Below are 16,733 nucleotides of genomic sequence, written 5' to 3'. Positions count from 1 at the left end.
CTGGACACACTGGAATCAGCTAGCGACCCCATATCAGCTTGGTTCCAATAGTTGCCCAGTTAATAAAAAGCCTTCTTACTTAGTTTACTTGGGATAATTTTGTTTATTTTGTTTTACTGTTGTGGAATATATTGCTGTTGCACTCTTTGTGTAGGAATGCAGGATAAGCTTACTCAATGTTTTCTTAAGTTGAACACTTAATAATCTTCCAGATATCACCTTGCCATACTGACGTCTTCTGACTGAGCTCTTCTCTACCCCAAATACAAGAGACCCTAATAGTTAGGCAGGAATATCATCATCCCTATTCAGCCCGAAGAAGTTACAGAAGATGGATCTTTGTCCCTTTACAACCCTTAGGATTAAGGATTCTCTTATAAAAGGGAGGGGAGAAATGTCAGAGGCATTTGAACCAGAGCAACTTGAATAGGGGCTGGGGAAAATGAGGCTGAGACCTACTGGGCTGCATTCCCAGGTGGTTAGGCATTCTAGGTCACAGAATGAGATGGAGGTTGGCACAAGGTACAGGTCATAAAAACCTTGCTGATATAACCGCTTGCAGTAAAGAAGCCGGCTAAATCCCGCCAAAACCAAGATGGCGACAAGAGTGACCTCTGGTTGTCCTCACTGCTACACTCCCACCAGCACCATGACAGTTTACAAATGCCATGGCAGCATCAGGAAGTTACCCTATATGGTCTAAAAAGGGGAGGCATGAATAATCCACCCCTTGTTTAGCATATCATCAAGAAATAGTCATAAAAATGGGCAACCAGCAGACCTCAGGGCTGCTCTATAGAGTAGACATTCTTTTAGTGTTTTACTTTCCTAATAAACTTGCTTTCACTTTACTCTATGGACTTGCCTTGAATTCTTACAAGAGATCCAAGAACTCTCCCTTGGGGTCTGGATCGGGACCCCTTTCCAGTAGCAGGATGGCAGAGACAGACACGCTGGAGCCACCCTTGAAAGAAGCAGGTGAAATTCAAGGCCAGAGCACATAAACTGCCTTAAGGAAAGTGAGGACGATATCTCTGGGGGCCTGTTTTCATCACCAAACCCATGTGGCTGGAGATGTCTGATTGGAAGGAAGTGTGTGTCCCTGATGAGACATGCATATGACCTCTGACTGAGGGGTTCTGGGAAGCAGGAATGTTTCAGAGTCCAAATCTGTACATACACCCAGGCAGGTATCGAGTGTGTCAACTCCCCCTCTTCAACCCTGAGTTGATTCTCTACTTCCTGTGGAAGAAGACAGCAATATCCACAGGGCACATACTTACAGATTTTGAGAATGCAATACAGGTGACTGCTCGGTCAAAAAAACCTATTCCAATGACGTGGAGAGTATTCAATGTCACAGAATCCCAGATGCGCACATGTGGGGGCAATTGCTGTTCAGAAAAGAAACACAGAGCCATCAATTGTGATGGTGATACACATGTGTCTTTACCTTGAAGCTACAAGATTACTTGGGCAGTAACTCGGACTTTGTCAAAACAAAAGATCTTTTTCTGCATTTCAGGAGTCTGCCTTTTTATGTAAATAAAACATTCCCGATGACTTCAGGAGGTGGAGGGCCTTGTTGATAATTTAACAGTAAGGAGAGGTCTACCAAGTTTTAGAATTTGAATGGCCAATTTTTGACAATAGTACCATGGGAACTGACACTTTAATTTGTGCATCTAAATGTGTCTGAATTTTAGAAATGAAAAATGACAAGTAAAATGGAATCTCACATATGGGTTATTCTTTTAAAGTCTGTTTTGTTGCTAAGGTGTCACCATGCCTAAATTCATAAGATGGTCACCACCAAATAATATTAAGAGCTTAACAGACCAGGTGTGGTGGCTCACGCCTGTAATCCCAGCACTTTGGGAGGCTGAGGCAGGTGGATCGCCTGAGGTCAGGAGTTCGAGACCAGCCTGACCAACATGGTGAAACCCTGTCTCTACAAAATACAAAAAATTAGCCGGGCGTGGTAGTGCATGCCTGTAATCCCAGCTACTTGGGAGGCTGAGGCAGGAAATCGCTTGAACCCGGGAGGTGGAGGTTGCAGTGAGCCAAGATTGCACTACTGCACTCCAGCCTGGGCAACAAGAGCAAAACTCTGTCTCAAAAAAAAAAAAAAAAAAAAAAAAGAGCTTAATATTCTTGGGCAAAACAGGCATCAATTATGTACAAATAAGATTTAGAATTGTTATAATTGGTTTAAAATCCTCTCAACTGTGTTCCTAGGTTATTTACGCTAATTTTTCTCTTCCTTAATAGAAGAAAACATCATAGAGCAATCAGTAGATTTATCAGTAAGAAAAGGTGCTGGCCTTGGACCTAGTAGAAACACTAGGCAGGCGTTAGGTGAACCAAGTTCTAGTTCAGTCTAATCTCTAAGCAGCTGGGTGTCCGCGGGCATTCACTAGGCCTCTCTGGATTTCTCTATGGGTAAACTGAAAGATAACTATAATATTTTTCTCTAGTTCTAAAGTACCGATTCAATTTCAATGCCAGAAACTGAAATATACTTTTAAGCCACTAGAGGGAGGAACAAATAGCTTACCACTAATTTCAAAGAATTTTTCAAAGCCATTTAACATTAAAAAAAAAAAAATTGAAAGACCCATTCAATTTAAGTAAATTTATTTACATAATAGTGGTCTGATTTCCATTATTTCTGTTAACTCTTTTCAAGTATAAAATATTAATGCAGGTCAGGCGCAGTGGTTCACGCCAGTAATCCCAGTACTTTGGGAGGCTGAGGTGGGCAGATCGCTTGAGCCCAGAAGTTTGAGACCAGCCTGGGCGATGTGGTGAAACGCTGTCTCTACCAAAAATACAAAAATTAACCGGGCGAGGTGGCGTGTGCCTGTACTCCCAGCTACTCAGGAGGCTGAGGTGGGAGGATCACTTGAGCCTGTGGGGGCAGAGGTGGCAATGACCCGTGATTGTGCCACTGCATTCCAGCCTGGGTGACAGAGTGAGACCCTGTCTCAAGAAAAAAAAAAAAATTAATGGAAAATAGCATAAGATTAATATTTAAAATCCAATGTTACTAAAATATTTTCTGAAATATGGTAGTATTCATTTTTTCTGGATGAAAACATGTTGATAAAATGTATGTACTTAAATTAGTTTCAGATAAAATATTATGCAATAACAAGCTATATAAAAGTAGATATCAAAAAAGCTACAAGCTCCCTCTCTAACGCCTTAAAATGCAAATTAAAGTCTTGCTGAAGTGCTTGCAAAATCTGTGCTAAAAACCTCCTAGTAGCTTTTGTGACTGCACACAGACACAAACTTCACGGGTTAAAGTCACGACTGTTAAACGACATTCACAGGACAGGGCAGAGGGTGGCTGAAATTTGGCAAAATGTTGTACATTCAAATTATTATTATAATTTTAACTTTATTAAATGTTTACCTTCATATTTTTAATACTTATCATATAAATAAACATTTTAAGAATTAGCGAATTCTTTGTTCAGAACAATGCTATTTAAAAATCTGATGAAATTAAGATGAGCTCCAGGGATTTTTAAGGTCACAGTCAGTATTTTTTTTTTTTTTTTTTGAGACTTAGTCTCTCTCTGTCACCCAGGATGGAGTGCAGTGGCATGATCTTGGCTCACTGCAACCTCCGCCTCCCGGGTTCAAGTGATTCTCCTGCTTCAGCCTCCAGAGTAGCTGGGACTACGGTCATGTGACACCACGCCTGGCTAATTTTTGTATTTTTGGTAGAGACGGGTTTCACTATGTTGGCTAGGCTGGTCTCAAACTTCTGACCTCAAGAGATCCAGCCTGCCTTGGCATCCCAAAGTGCTGGGATTACAGGCGTGAGCCACCGCACCCTGCCACACAATAAGTCTTCTAATTTACAATAAAAAATTCTAGTGAGGGGTTCAGAAGTTTTCAGATACCATAATTATATCTAAGCAGCCTTACTCAGCAGCACAATGTTTTCTAAAAATTACTTTGTGTTACCAGTTCATTATGAAACAATGAAAAGGTAACGTAACTCACTTTTCCATCCTTCGATGTGCCCGCAACTTGTCCTGTTGCTATCGTGATCCGATCAGGATGAACTGCTAGGCTAAGAAAAGGATATTTACAAAACATCTACATGTTGCAGGTAAGTTTTACTTTTCCCTTGCTCAAATATAATCTAGTCAAAAATTTAAATATAAGAAATATATAATGCCTAACTTCTTACAGACTCATGACAAATTCTCTGAGCACCACGACGTTAGACAACTAGTACCTAATTCATTTCATCTTAATTCCCTTATTTCTTCTTAAGAATTTTCAAACTGAAGGAAAAAGCATCCTCTGCTGGGAAAATACCATTTCAATCTCAGAACCACTACATTAGTCTACAATCTTTATTAAAAAGTCATGTTGAGTACATAAATAGGAAAGATACCATCTTTCGTGAACAGGATTTTTATCATTGACCAAGGAACCAGGACAAATACAAATATATAAATCCATCTCTTCACGCATCCATCCTTCCAAGATATGTAATATGCCTACCAAAAGCTATAAATGAATTATGGGAAGAGCCGACTCAGCCACAAACATGAGGCAACACATTTTTATGTTTATCAAAAAATAAAGACCCAAATTAGAAGCCTTTAATACATGATGTGTTAAGAAGGCCTCCAAAGAGGTGGCGCTGTTTGTTGAGACAATGTGGTCCGTGAAGCTCATGCGTTGGTGAGGCTGGAAAATTAAACATGAGAGGGGTCTCACGGAGCGCAGTAGTGAGCGGACCACAAGGAGACCACACAGAAGAGCTCTCCCAAAGACCTCATTTCCTCAGACCCTCTTCCTTCTCTTTAGTTATGTCCCAATACTGACCGTGTTCTGCTAATGCTATTTCCACCTGTGCAACAGGAATCACATTTATTTATTTATTTATTTTAGAGACAGGGTTTCACTGTTGCCCAGGATGGTCTGGAACTCCTGGCCTCAAGCGATCCTCCTACCTTCGCCTTCTGAGTCGCAGGAATGACCTGTTTCAGGACTTACCACTTCACGTCATCGTTGTGGCCAGCGTAATGCCTCTGCAGTTGCTCCTCCACGTTGTATAACACCACCACGGATGCGATGAAGTAGACGGTCTCTCCCGTCGGAAGCAAGTACAGGTTGTTACGGCAGTCTCGACCCCTGTACCCATAGCTTTGTGGATGTCAAGATAAAATTTTTTTTCCCTTTAAGAGCTGACAAAACATCAGCTTTATTCAACAGGCACAGGCAATAAAATACCATATAACTATTACCATCAGCATCACTAATTTAAACAACATTAAATTGCAAATATTCCATGACAAATACATGTGACCCCCAAAAGGCATGCAGTAAAGTTGAAACAGTCATTGATGTAATGTGAATACATATTTTCACAATGATTTGGTTTTATTTTTAGAAAGCTATTGAGTCAATTATTAATTTTTTTACTGTAATCTACGAGCTAAATTTTTACTAAAAAATTCCTTTTTTAAACATGGTAAAAGTACTTACAAAGGGTACAAATGACACACACACATGCACACAAACATACATAAAAGGTAAAAAAAAAAAAATCAGGCCCCTCAGATCCTTTGGGATAAGAATCCCTGTTAAAATTTTTGCATTATATTTCCAAACCTTGAAAATTATTTTATTTTGAGAACAAAATATCACTTCAACTTGGATGTAAAAAGTAACCCGGCAAGATGCCAAATAATGGCCAAAAAAATGCCATTTATTTAGAGCAAATTTCATTGCTTTACATCTTCTAAAATATGAACAGGAAGTAGGCTGAATAAATGTTTTGAATAATGTTTTCCAGATGTGATATAACCGTTTAATAAACCACTACTGACTTAAAGACGAGCTGAAGCACTTCAATTTCATGTATCAAGATAGATTCCAAAACAGGTGCAGGTAAATGCCTATGACATTTGAATCTGGAAAAAAAAAAAGTATTTTGGGGGAGAAATTTAGGTACAGGTGGTAATTTTAAAAAATTTCTAAGGAATATGATTCCATAATCTCAAATAGTAATTATTCTAAATGAAGTCACAATAGCTTAAATTTAAACCAACATCTTATAATTTGTGTTCCAGGCTTGGCATTAAACAGGTACTCAAATATTTGAAGGTGAAAAAAAATTTTTTTTTTCCCTTAAAATCTGCATAGACTGAAAGGTGGTCTCTGCAGGATTCCTCTAAAGTAATAAGAAAATGGAAAAATAATCAACAATTAATTCACCTTTTTCACAGTTTCTATTTTCTTATCTTTCAGTTGTTTTTTCCCCTGGAAGCTCACTTTTCCAAACCTCATGCCATGAAGCTACCAGCACCTCTGTTTCAAGAACGTTAGTTATATGGTTGATTCAGATTTTTGTGGCCTAGATTTTTGGGGAGCCTTTTTGATTGATATGAATATATGTATTTTTGAGACAGGGACTTGCCAAGTTACCCAGGCTGGACTTGAACTCCTGGATCCTTCCATCTAAGCCTCTTGAACAGCTGGGACTACAGGGATGCATCCCTGTAGCTAGTTTTTTTTTTTTTAAAGTAGGATGATATCTACGTGATATGTCAATTTCATTTACGTCATTCACTTGACTCCCTTCATTCAGTACTTTGGTATTCATATTTTTCTATCATCCCTTCAGTCAAGGTCACACTTGAAGTTTGGCTCCTAAGGCTGGCCAAGTCCATACTTGGTTTAAGGGGAGAATGCTAGTCCTCCTTTCAGAGTACCCCTCTTTCTTTGGGTTTAAAAACTTTTTTGCCAATGTGGTTTAGTTTCAATTTTGGATACTCCCATTTCCTCAATCATAAGGACAATATTTTCTTGCATTGTCACTGTTGTTTCCTTATAAATATAGAGAGTGCCTAGTTTTCCATCTGTCCCTGAAGAGTTGACTAAGTATATGATAGCTCCTGTTAAAAATAATTGGCTTTTGGCTGGGCATGGTGGCTCATGCCTATAATCCCAGCACTTTGGGAAGCTGAGACGAGCAGATTGCTTGAGTCCAGGAGCTCAAGAACAGCTGGGGCAACATAGGGAGAGACTATCTCTTAAAAAAAAATCAGTTCTCATTAGAATCTAAAATTCTACCCATTCTTGATTATTTTCACTGTTCACTTCTTTATATATTTCTAACTACTATTGTCATTCTTTTGGAAAGAATAAAATTCGGACCAGAAACTAGTGATTCATTTTCTCCTGACAAAGAAAAAAATCACTCATACAATCATATAACATCTTCATATTTTCTTTTCAGCAAAATAATGAACATGTATTTGAGCCAGAACCACAGCTATTTCGTTCAGGAATGATAAGTTGGTTCTCCTGATAATAAGCCGCTCTTATGAAGCTCCTACTTTGTTAGAACTCTGTAGGTCTCTAACATATAGTCAATTTTGTTACATTAAGTTTTCAAAAGTAACAGTAAAACATTTTGTTTTTTAAAAGCTTAAGAGGACTTAAGTTTTATGAATTTCTACAGTTAACATCAAGCATTGATTGACTGATAACTTCATGTGAGACCTAATCAATGAATAAAGGATACACCCATTCCAGCTTGAGTCTCTTGGTTGGAAGTTCTACTTTTGCTTCCAAGCTGTAAGAATCCACTTGATCTTTGGGCATGTACATGGTAACAGGGCGTCCACGAAGAAACATTTTTACATAGCCTTCTTCTACAAAAAGAACAAAGATTTCAGTAAGATACCTCAGTGCCCAGCGTACCTGAAAACAAATGCTTTATCCTCTCTAGCCTTTCAGTATAAAAGAGAAACTTTTACCCTTCTGTCATTCTAATTGATATCCTAGGGAAAAAAGTAACATAAAAATAAACAGTTTGAAACAAAAGTTTGCATCTTGTTTGCTTTTGATATTCTGTTTACTTAAGTACATGAGATACCTACGAAATTGTAAAAGGCAGGAAGGAACTTGATTCCAACAATGATTTTCCATGAGATTTTACTGTTTACTTTCTTTTATCATCAGGAGGGGAAAAAATACCACCCCCAAAATTCAACTAACACAAGAAATCCACTTAAAGTTTTTGAGTTCAATGTATACACAATCTCAATATCCAAATTCACAAATATTTTTCAATATTTAAATGGATTTGTTATATTGCAATGTAAAAATATATCTTTATGTATCTTTTAACTGAACAATTCTTTCAAGTGTAAAGAACACAAAATCAGCAGAAGTGCATGCTAGGATGCAATGCAGAAAGGAAAATGCTCAAAGAAAATCTAGAAATGGAAAACAAAAGAACAAAAGACCCATTAGAGAGAGAAATCAGGATGCAAAACTCTTCAGAACGAACATTTCTATAATAAAATAACTTTTAATATTTCAATAAATCATAGGGACAAAAGTAAATATCAACAACGTATCAACACGGGGTAACTCCTAGACCTCAAAAAGAACATCTTGGGGTGTTCTGACTGGAGTTCTCAGGATATGATAAGGGCAAAGAAAATGTCTTGTGAGCTCCGCTCCTGGTGAATTCTGTTCAGATTCAGAACTCGCTGAATTCTGAAATTTCACTGCAGATCAAAGGACCTGGTTTTAATGGTATTTAAACTGGGCAGTTGGAACCAGGGATACCTGTACACAACTCAACAGAAAAAGCATCCGCAGGGAGGAAATTGGCGAGGAACAGTTAGGAAATAATTATAGTACAAGTTAGTTTTATAAGTCTTATTCTTAAGGATTTTCAAACAATGCCACATGCAGTATTACTTAAAAATCAAGAGGGCACCCCAGTTTCATGTTATTGTGTGTATGCGCTTCAGGTCTTAAATGCATGCACGTGACACACTCTTCACACTGCGTATTAAGGCTGACGTTGAGTGAGAGTCATGAACGCGATCATCCCTGCCTATGTGTGCCAGCCACTGCGTCCCATGGATCCTCCCCTTACAATGTCTCCCACACTGGTGCCAACTTCCCCAGGTGCACTGGGGCCCCATCACCACAGGCTGTCTTATGGCTCTCCTGGGTCAGTTTACACACTGCTGCCAAACCCACCAAGGCCCAAACCAGGTTTACGGAGCCCTTCCTCCATGTAAACTTCTTCACCTGCTCTCTTCCTTGCTGGATCCAGCAGGTCTAAATGCCCTGCCAGGCTCTCACCGCACAGGACCTCATCTGCCACAGCCACCCACAGGGATTCTCCTCTGGGGCCAGGCGTGTCTCTTTGCCCCCCTCTACACCCTGTCCTGTCTGTGCCACCGCTCATGCTGTTCTCTTCTGAAGCTTCTTCCCTTCCTTAAACCTCACCCAAATATAAGCTCATCAGGGGCTGTGTGGCTACCACAACCAAAGAATCTAAAAGCACCCAAACGATTGACATTCTTGAAAAGAGGGGCAGGAGACTGGAGTTGACAGCTAAATGAAAAGGGATTCTAGCAACTCTCTTTGTAAGAGAATCAGTCCTGCCAGAAAGCTCGCAGAATGTAGGTTAGGAATAAAGACAATATAATGCTATTTCCACAACACATAAAAAATGCAGAGTGTGGATGTATATAACCAATGTCTATGAAATATCCACATGAGTCTATCACAGGTATGTGATGATTAAGAAACCTTAGGACTGAGCTTACTTACTGCAGAATTTTAACTTACTGAACTAGGCAAAAAAAGCACTGAAGTCAGCCTTGGCACTGTTTTGTACTGGTGATTCAGACAGGCTACATCTAAAATCAAAATGCAGCCAGGGAAAGCAGTGTTTGTTCCAGGCAGGTTAGGATAACAGCACACACGCCACCAAACCCAAAGGCGCTAGTGGGAAGAGGCCAGCAGCAGTGCATGATACCAAGTCAAACAGTGGGACATCCAGGGGTGGCCCTATAGCTCTCTTAAGGTTTACATAGATGAAAAAAAAATTCCTGCAGTCAGCCAATACCAATTGGGATCCAAATTACAGCCACTTATTAAAGCCCATCCGAGTAAATGCTCAGGGATGCGTTTAACTTAAAATGAATCGAAGTGGTTTGCAACACAAAAACATTTTCATACAAGGAGAGCATCTGTTTGCCTGTATGAAAAAGGTTTCTGTAGCCTGGGTAACAGCTTTGCTCAGAGAGCTATGAGGTTTCAGAAATGCTGCCTACCTTTGCAGTGTGTCACCCGGCGTTTCCCTTGTGATTTCGGAGACAGAGACAGAAGGGCTAGATAAAGAGACGGTGGAGTACTGCAAGTGTGGCTGGCCTGCCTGCCCCGGAGCCCGGAGCCCTCACTAGCCCGCAGGCCAACACCTGACCTGCCCCCCAGTCTTAAAATCTGGACACGGTTCAGGGATCCTGACAAGTGCGCTCACAATGTGGCCCTGCGAGCTTACAGCAAGTACATTTTCAGTGAGTAATTTCATGCTTCCTGAAAATGAAATGAACACTAAAGCACATGCTGATAAATACACAACTTTGACTTTTATGTTTTAATTCTGAACTTAAGAAAAAACTAGAACAATTAAAATTAAATGAATGTATTTCATCAATTACATACTTGTCCATTTTTTGCATTTTAAATGCATTTCTAAATAAGGTTAAGATGCTAGACAACAGCATCTACCTTATTACAAAAGGTGTTAAAAAAGATATATGGAAAGATATACATGAACTATTAGTTTGCAGTTTAGGAGATCATAGGCAGAAAAAGAAAAGCTACTTTTAGACAGTTATATAACTTGATGCATAAGAAACTTTCCCCTAAGAGAAATGCAAATGTTGATAACAGAATCCAGTTAGTAAGGAAGGAATAACCAAGGCAACAGACACCTTTTAATCTAGAAATTCCATCATGGCATAGGTGGTGGCATTCCACTCTCCTCCTTACTGGCATGTCTTACGTTGGTTTTGGAGAGGGTAGGTGAAGGGTTTGCTCTTTATGACTGTTTAAAGGCAGTCTCGCTGTCACTATCTGAGCCATTCAACCTCCAGGTACAAAGCTCCATCTGGGCCTGCACAAACCAAAGCTCCTGTGTGTCCAAGGCTGGCCCCTGAAGCTGGCTACTTCTTTTCTGTCCCTTGAGTTCTGAGAGAGTGAGTGAGGGGTTCCCATACATAAATTAAATCAGACTTACCTGCACTGAATACAGGCTCCTTGGGTTTGCTGTGAAAATAAACGAAAAACAGTTTTTAAAGGGTGCTGTGGGTGTTTCATCTCATTCACTTCAGACCCCAAAGCCACGGCTGCAGTAGTCTGCCACACAAATGCTGCATAAGTTATACACGTTAATAAGAAAAACACCACCAATTTCACTGCAAAAAGGAACACACATAAACAATCATAAACAATCTCATAGGTGCAAGAGATTGCAATCCTCACTTTATCACCAAAGTTGTGCTTTTTATGACTGCAAGTAAGTGTTTCGGGGAGGAAAAAATGTGATTAATCAAGAAGGGAATGACCCTGTCTAAATGTGTAAAAACGGTTGTTTTTATTCCCTACACTCTTCTGACAGATTATTTAAAGAACTTATTTAAAACTAGCAAATTCCTGACAAAAGATCTTTTGGTGAGGCCTTTTAGAGCTCACCTCCTAAGCAGATGGCTGTTCTCGGAAGACAAGTGGGTGAACATAAAATAGAAAGAGAAGCGGGGAACACCAGGGTGTGGTACCCTCCAGCTCAGCCATCTCTTGGGAGAGGTAGGGACACCCCTGCTGACTTCAGTCACCCTGGGCACCCACCATGAGCAGGTGAGACCACCCCATGACAGCACTTGGGAAACCAAACCCAGGAAGCATTTAAGGACAGACAGCCGCAGGCAGACTGGACATCCCTAGGAGCAAGCACCTCACAGGAGAAACTTCCACGAGGGGACCCTGGGGGCAGAAGGAGAGGCGGCCGCCACTGCAGACCCACTACTTTCTGCCAGGGGCACCCCTCCCATGACACCACCTTTGGGGAGATGGCACCGTCTCCATTCCAGACAGGGACAGGGAGACCAAGGGAGCTCAGGGAGGGGGGTGACCCCTTGACCTCAACTTTGACTCCAAAGTTCATGCTTTGCACTGCTTAGCTTCCCTGACTTCTGCCTGCTTTAAGATACAAAAGACGACACAGGAAATAAACGGGAGTCAAGGGGTGCACTGGGTTCACCATAGTGAACCCATAAGGCACCATAGTGCCTTAAATGCTGCTAGGATTACATATGCATTTTGTGTGTGTGTGTATTTAAAACAAAAACTTGAGCAGATATATTCCTAATATTATTCCTCAATTTTTGACTTGAAACACAATGAAAAACACCAGGAATAAAAACTATCCTTAATCCCAAGATGTAGTAAGTAATATTCTATATTAATATTCTTGATTTCCAGATAATTTCCTGCAGCACATGGGGTGGGGTGGTAGAGCCTACTACTTTCCTGATGCTTTAAAAGTGTTTTACTCTGTTCAAATGTGTTTTAAGTAGTTTTGTAAGCTATAGGCTTAGTTTCCTAAACTCTAAACTATGGTCATTGAAAATACTACTAAAAAGCCATGGCACAGCCTTTGAACCTGAAAGCCTGGGTCTTACATTGGCCTACAAGGCCCTATCCAATCTGCACCTGACCCCTGTATTCTTCAGAGCTCATCTCCCTTCACTATATTCCCTGCTGTTCTGGGAACCTGGCCCAGCAGGCTCCGTGTCAGGCGTTGGCTCATGGGCCCTCCTGGACCATCCTCCCCGAAGTCAGCCACTCTCAGGCCACTGCTGTAGCCGTGCGTACGGATTCATGTTCGCTGCTCCATACTGAAACCCTCCTCACGCCCTGCTCGCCACAGCCCCCGCCCCTCCTGCTTTATTTTTCTCTATAGCACTTATTTGCCCCCTGCCTTCATTTTGTTTCTCCCACCAGGAGGCAATTCCACAGGGGCAGGGATCTTTCTGTTCATGGCTATATTCCCAGGGCCTTGGACAATAGACAGCGGCTGCCCTGGTGTGAGGCCTGGAGCTCCTGTGGAATTCCTCTTGGTTCTCCGTCTTCAGCCTTCAGCAGGCCCCAAGGATCTGTGCCTGGTGGGTGGTGGTGGGGTCGGCTCTCAGCAATCCTGCCTCTCCCCGGGGCACACACAGCTGCTGCCAAGAACCTGGTGTGGGGCTTGGTGTGCAGATGGAGTTTCTCTCCATCCTCCAGGTCCCCAGACCTCACTACACACCCACCCCTCAAAGGGCTCTCTCTCAGCTTTCCTCATCCTTCCTTCGGGGGTGGCCAGCTGCTGCCTGGCACTTAGTTCCAGGCCCTGAGCGTGGAGAACGTCTCTCGGCTTTCCTCCTGGCATGCCTCTGCCTCCGTGGGTCTCTCTCAGCCGCCTGTCCGGCTCCCAATCCACCATGCACACTCACGGAAGTCTGGGGAAAAGCGGAGTGCGTCTGAGCGGGGGGAGGGTTCTCGTGTGCCCAGAGCCCCTGAGGACTCTGAACTCTCCTGCCAGTCCACACTCAGCCTTTCCCAATTCTACACCTCCAGGTGATTTCCTACTCCCATCTAAGAGGGCTCCCCTTTTCTCCCCGCCACTCTGCCAGAGACAAAAGCAGCCGTGGGGCCTGTCCCTCCTCAGATGGGCTTGCCACTTTTCAGTAACACTTCAGTTCATTATACTACTTTCTGTCCTCAGCTCCATGGTGGCCTTAAAATAGCTATGATACTGTAGATACCTGAATTGTTCTCATTTTTAGGGTGGAAGTGACATTCTTGTCATTTTCTGTGTGCTAAGCAGAAGCAGAAGAAATCTTAACTCCAAATTTCACATATATGATTAAATTTACAGGCAGAAGGAGGTGAGGACAGAAGGAAAGCTGACAAAAGACTACGAGGCAAATCTAATTACAGAAACATAATCAAAGGGAAGCCAGGTATGGAATCAAAAGATAAGAAAACTATTTTTTTATCATGACTTTGATCACAAAAGTAGAATGATGCAAAAGCTATGAACACAGAAATGAGAAATTCAGAACTTGCCCTAGAGACAGAAAAAAGCAATTATGAACTATGTTCTTCCTGCAAAGAGAAAATCCGCAAGGGAATCTGAACGCTTCATACAGGGAAGCTCGTGGACCTTCGACACTGAAGAACTGTAAGAGGAAGAATGAAAGATTTCTATTAACAGATTAGGTAGCAGGAATGTTAACAACTAAGGTCATTGAGAGAGGAGGTATCAGGTGGTACTAAAATGCTTACATTTCTTTAAATCATGCTCTAAACAATGTATCACTTTGTGGTATGCTGTATTTAGAAAATATACTACTGCTACATTTTATTATTTTAGAAAGTTGAGTTTTTATTGAAAAAAACCCAGCTTATTTGTTTAGAACCCATTACTCCTGCCAATGCACCACCACCTTTTCTAAAAGGCAAGCCTGGGAGGAGGTAATTTCACTCTTGCATGCAAATCTTGGCATATAAGCCCACAAAATGATGACAAATCTTCTGAACAACTGATAGAAAGGCAAACACACAGATGTGCAGTGATAACCAGAAGAGAACATTGAAGCCACCGTGGCCTCTCAACAAAGTCTGTTGACGGGAGCTGTATGCAGAAAGTGCATCTCTCCAGAACGCACAGCCACTCAAATTGAGAGTGGGTCCTTCAGACCCAGCACTATTTTGAAACATGCTTGGGCGGTGAATTCACTTGGAGTGGGAGATGATCGCTTCTCAAGGTGTTACGTAATTCATCTCTGATTCCCCATTTCTTGATGTGAGCTCGGTGGAAAAAATTAAGTGGGTGACTTAACATCCCCTCAGCAGCTGGGGTGTGGCTCCATGGCGGTGGCGGGGTGCGGGGGAGAATGCCCAGTCCTGTCCTAGGAAGGGTGAAGGAGCACCAGCTGCAGAATGAGGCTCCATTCATCCCTTGCCCAGTGTGGAGTCAATCAAGATGTCCTGCACCTGCCCCTGAAGCCCATGACAGAACTAAGCCTGGAGGAGAGAAAGGATTTGCCCCCCCGGTGAACAAACTCTCAGCGCTTGGCTATTCTGGTGTTAAGTTGTGGCCAATATCTCCAAGACGAACTCCAGCACAGTTCTTATTGCTTATAAGAAGGAGATTTGCTGAAAGAGCTCGGCTGTATGCTCCCTTGAGCTGAATGGTTCGAGAGCTGATATAAGATATAAGCAGTCGTGGAGACTCAACGGAGGATGAGGTACATTTGAATCTTCACCAGACCAGCAGCTGTATGGGGAGATGGCAGGAGAACACTAGACATCTGCCCCAAGGAAAAACTCACACCAACAGACAGCAGTGCAGTCAACCAACAGACAGCAGTGCAGTCTGAGCTGGGAGGCTCACACCAACAGACACCAGTGCGGTCAACACCGCAGAGGCAGCTGTGAACACGTATGTCTAAGTCCAAATCCCTGAATGTGTTCACTGTGGACTTTGGGCACAGGGATGGTCTAAGAGTGGTTGGTTTTTACTCATCTGATAAAGCTCCTATTTGCTGCACCATAGACTGGCATTTATAAGGAGGAGAGTCCAGTGGACGACGTGTCCAGGCTGCAACTCAACAGATATTCACTGTGCCTCAGAGCGGGGATCTGCTCTTATCTCTTTCATCTACATTAACTAACCTAACCCCATGTTCCTGAAAGGGGGCTCTGGGGCCAGATCTTGCAGGTCTTCGACACGTGGTGACATGTGTAAGAAGTCCTGGGCAACTAGGATCAGAGTGGAACTAATAGGAGCCACGTGCTGTTTGAGCAGAGATACTTGCTTTTGAAAGTGATTAATAAGGCTTGATAGAGGAGGAGTCCATTCCAAAGTTAAACATGTGATTTCCCTACAATTTATTAATCCAGAACAACTTTGGCTCTTGGAATAACATGACTTCTTTTTGTTTGAGACAGGGTCTGGCTCTGTCGCGCAGGCTGAAGTGCAGTGGTGTGATCTCGGCTCACGGCAACCTCCACCTCCTGGCTCAAGCCATCCTCTCACCTCAGCCTCCCAAGTATCTGGGACTACAGGCATATGCCACCAAACTCGGCTAATGTTTAGATTTTTTGTAGAGACAGGGTTCCGCCATGTTGTCCAGGCTGGTGTCAAACTCCTGGCCTCAAATGATCTGCCTGTCTTGGCCTCCCAAAGTGCTGGGATTCCAGGTGTGAGCCACTGGGCTCAGCCACATGACTGCTTTTAAAAATGACTTCACGTGATGAAATAAAGTTCCTGCTGGAAGTCAGAATACTCCACCATGGAAATAATGACTCTACAAAAATTGTCCTTAAGCAGCTTTTTATTAGAAATAGGGTCATTTAAGAACCATCTATTCAAAATGTTTAGAAGTTGCTGGAGACTTTATTTGGGACAAAAGCGACTGCTTCATAGACATTTCCAACCAATACTTCCCAGCTTAACATGGTGGAAGGAGCACAGATTTTGAGGCCAGCTGGATCCGTGTTCTAGGGCTTGGGTGAGGGGCTTCACCTCCACCAGCTTAACCTCCTTAATCTAAAAATGGGAATACAACCACTGTGAGGAACAGGTTATTGGCACGATTAAATAAGATATGTTACAATGCGTCCAACATGTTATTAATTAATATGGCTTCCCTCTTCCTCCTCCTTTCACTGCAAAAACCTTTGTATTTCCAGACTCCTCAGCTAACAGTCTCAAAACTAAAACAATATGAAGAATATTAGCACTTATCATTTTGAAATTTATTAAAACATAAATGACCCCATGGCTTGAAGAGTGAAACATTTTTTTCAGTAAAAAATGCGTAAGTCTCATC

At 42.0% G+C, this 16,733-nt stretch overlaps 1 protein-coding gene across 12 annotated transcripts in view, besides 2 other annotated features; it reads right to left on the bottom strand.

The window, feature by feature from the left end:
* Nucleotides 1–16,733, bottom strand: part of EML1 (EMAP like 1) — a 204,339-nt gene that overhangs the window by 39,738 nt on the left and 147,868 nt on the right. For 7 of the 12 annotated variants that reach the window (NM_001375411.1, NM_001440377.1, NM_001008707.2 and 4 more), the window contains 5 exons: nt 11,096–11,124; nt 7,565–7,694; nt 5,029–5,178; nt 4,021–4,090; nt 1,284–1,394 (listed from right to left, as the gene is read on the bottom strand). In NM_001375411.1, the coding sequence (NP_001362340.1) occupies nt 1,284–1,394; nt 4,021–4,090; nt 5,029–5,178; nt 7,565–7,694; nt 11,096–11,124 (490 nt within the window). Of the gene's footprint in view, nt 1–1,283; nt 1,395–4,020; nt 4,091–5,028; nt 5,179–7,564; nt 7,695–10,127; nt 10,185–11,095; nt 11,125–16,733 lie in introns of all 12 variants that reach the window. The other 5 variants (XM_005267398.3, XM_005267397.2, XM_005267399.4 and 2 more) reach the window with 1 other exon arrangement.
* Nucleotides 12,632–13,285: an enhancer, noted in NCBI's record as "NANOG-H3K27ac-H3K4me1 hESC enhancer chr14:100355375-100356028 (GRCh37/hg19 assembly coordinates)". NCBI's record gives its function as "activates a minimal SCP1, AML or CMV promoter by ChIP-STARR-seq in naive and primed H9 embryonic stem cells {active_cell/tissue: H9 hESC(naive and primed)}" and the evidence as "EXISTENCE:reporter gene assay evidence [ECO:0000049][PMID:30033119]".
* Nucleotides 13,286–13,939: an enhancer, noted in NCBI's record as "H3K27ac-H3K4me1 hESC enhancer chr14:100354721-100355374 (GRCh37/hg19 assembly coordinates)". NCBI's record gives its function as "activates a minimal SCP1, AML or CMV promoter by ChIP-STARR-seq in primed H9 embryonic stem cells {active_cell/tissue: H9 hESC(primed)}" and the evidence as "EXISTENCE:reporter gene assay evidence [ECO:0000049][PMID:30033119]".

This window comes from Homo sapiens, chromosome 14 (genome assembly GCF_000001405.40).
Source record: "Homo sapiens chromosome 14, GRCh38.p14 Primary Assembly".
Classification (NCBI taxonomy): domain Eukaryota; kingdom Metazoa; phylum Chordata; class Mammalia; order Primates; family Hominidae; genus Homo; species Homo sapiens.
The sequence above is the reverse complement of the archived record's forward strand: the minus strand, read 5'-3'. Positions and strand labels throughout refer to the sequence as shown.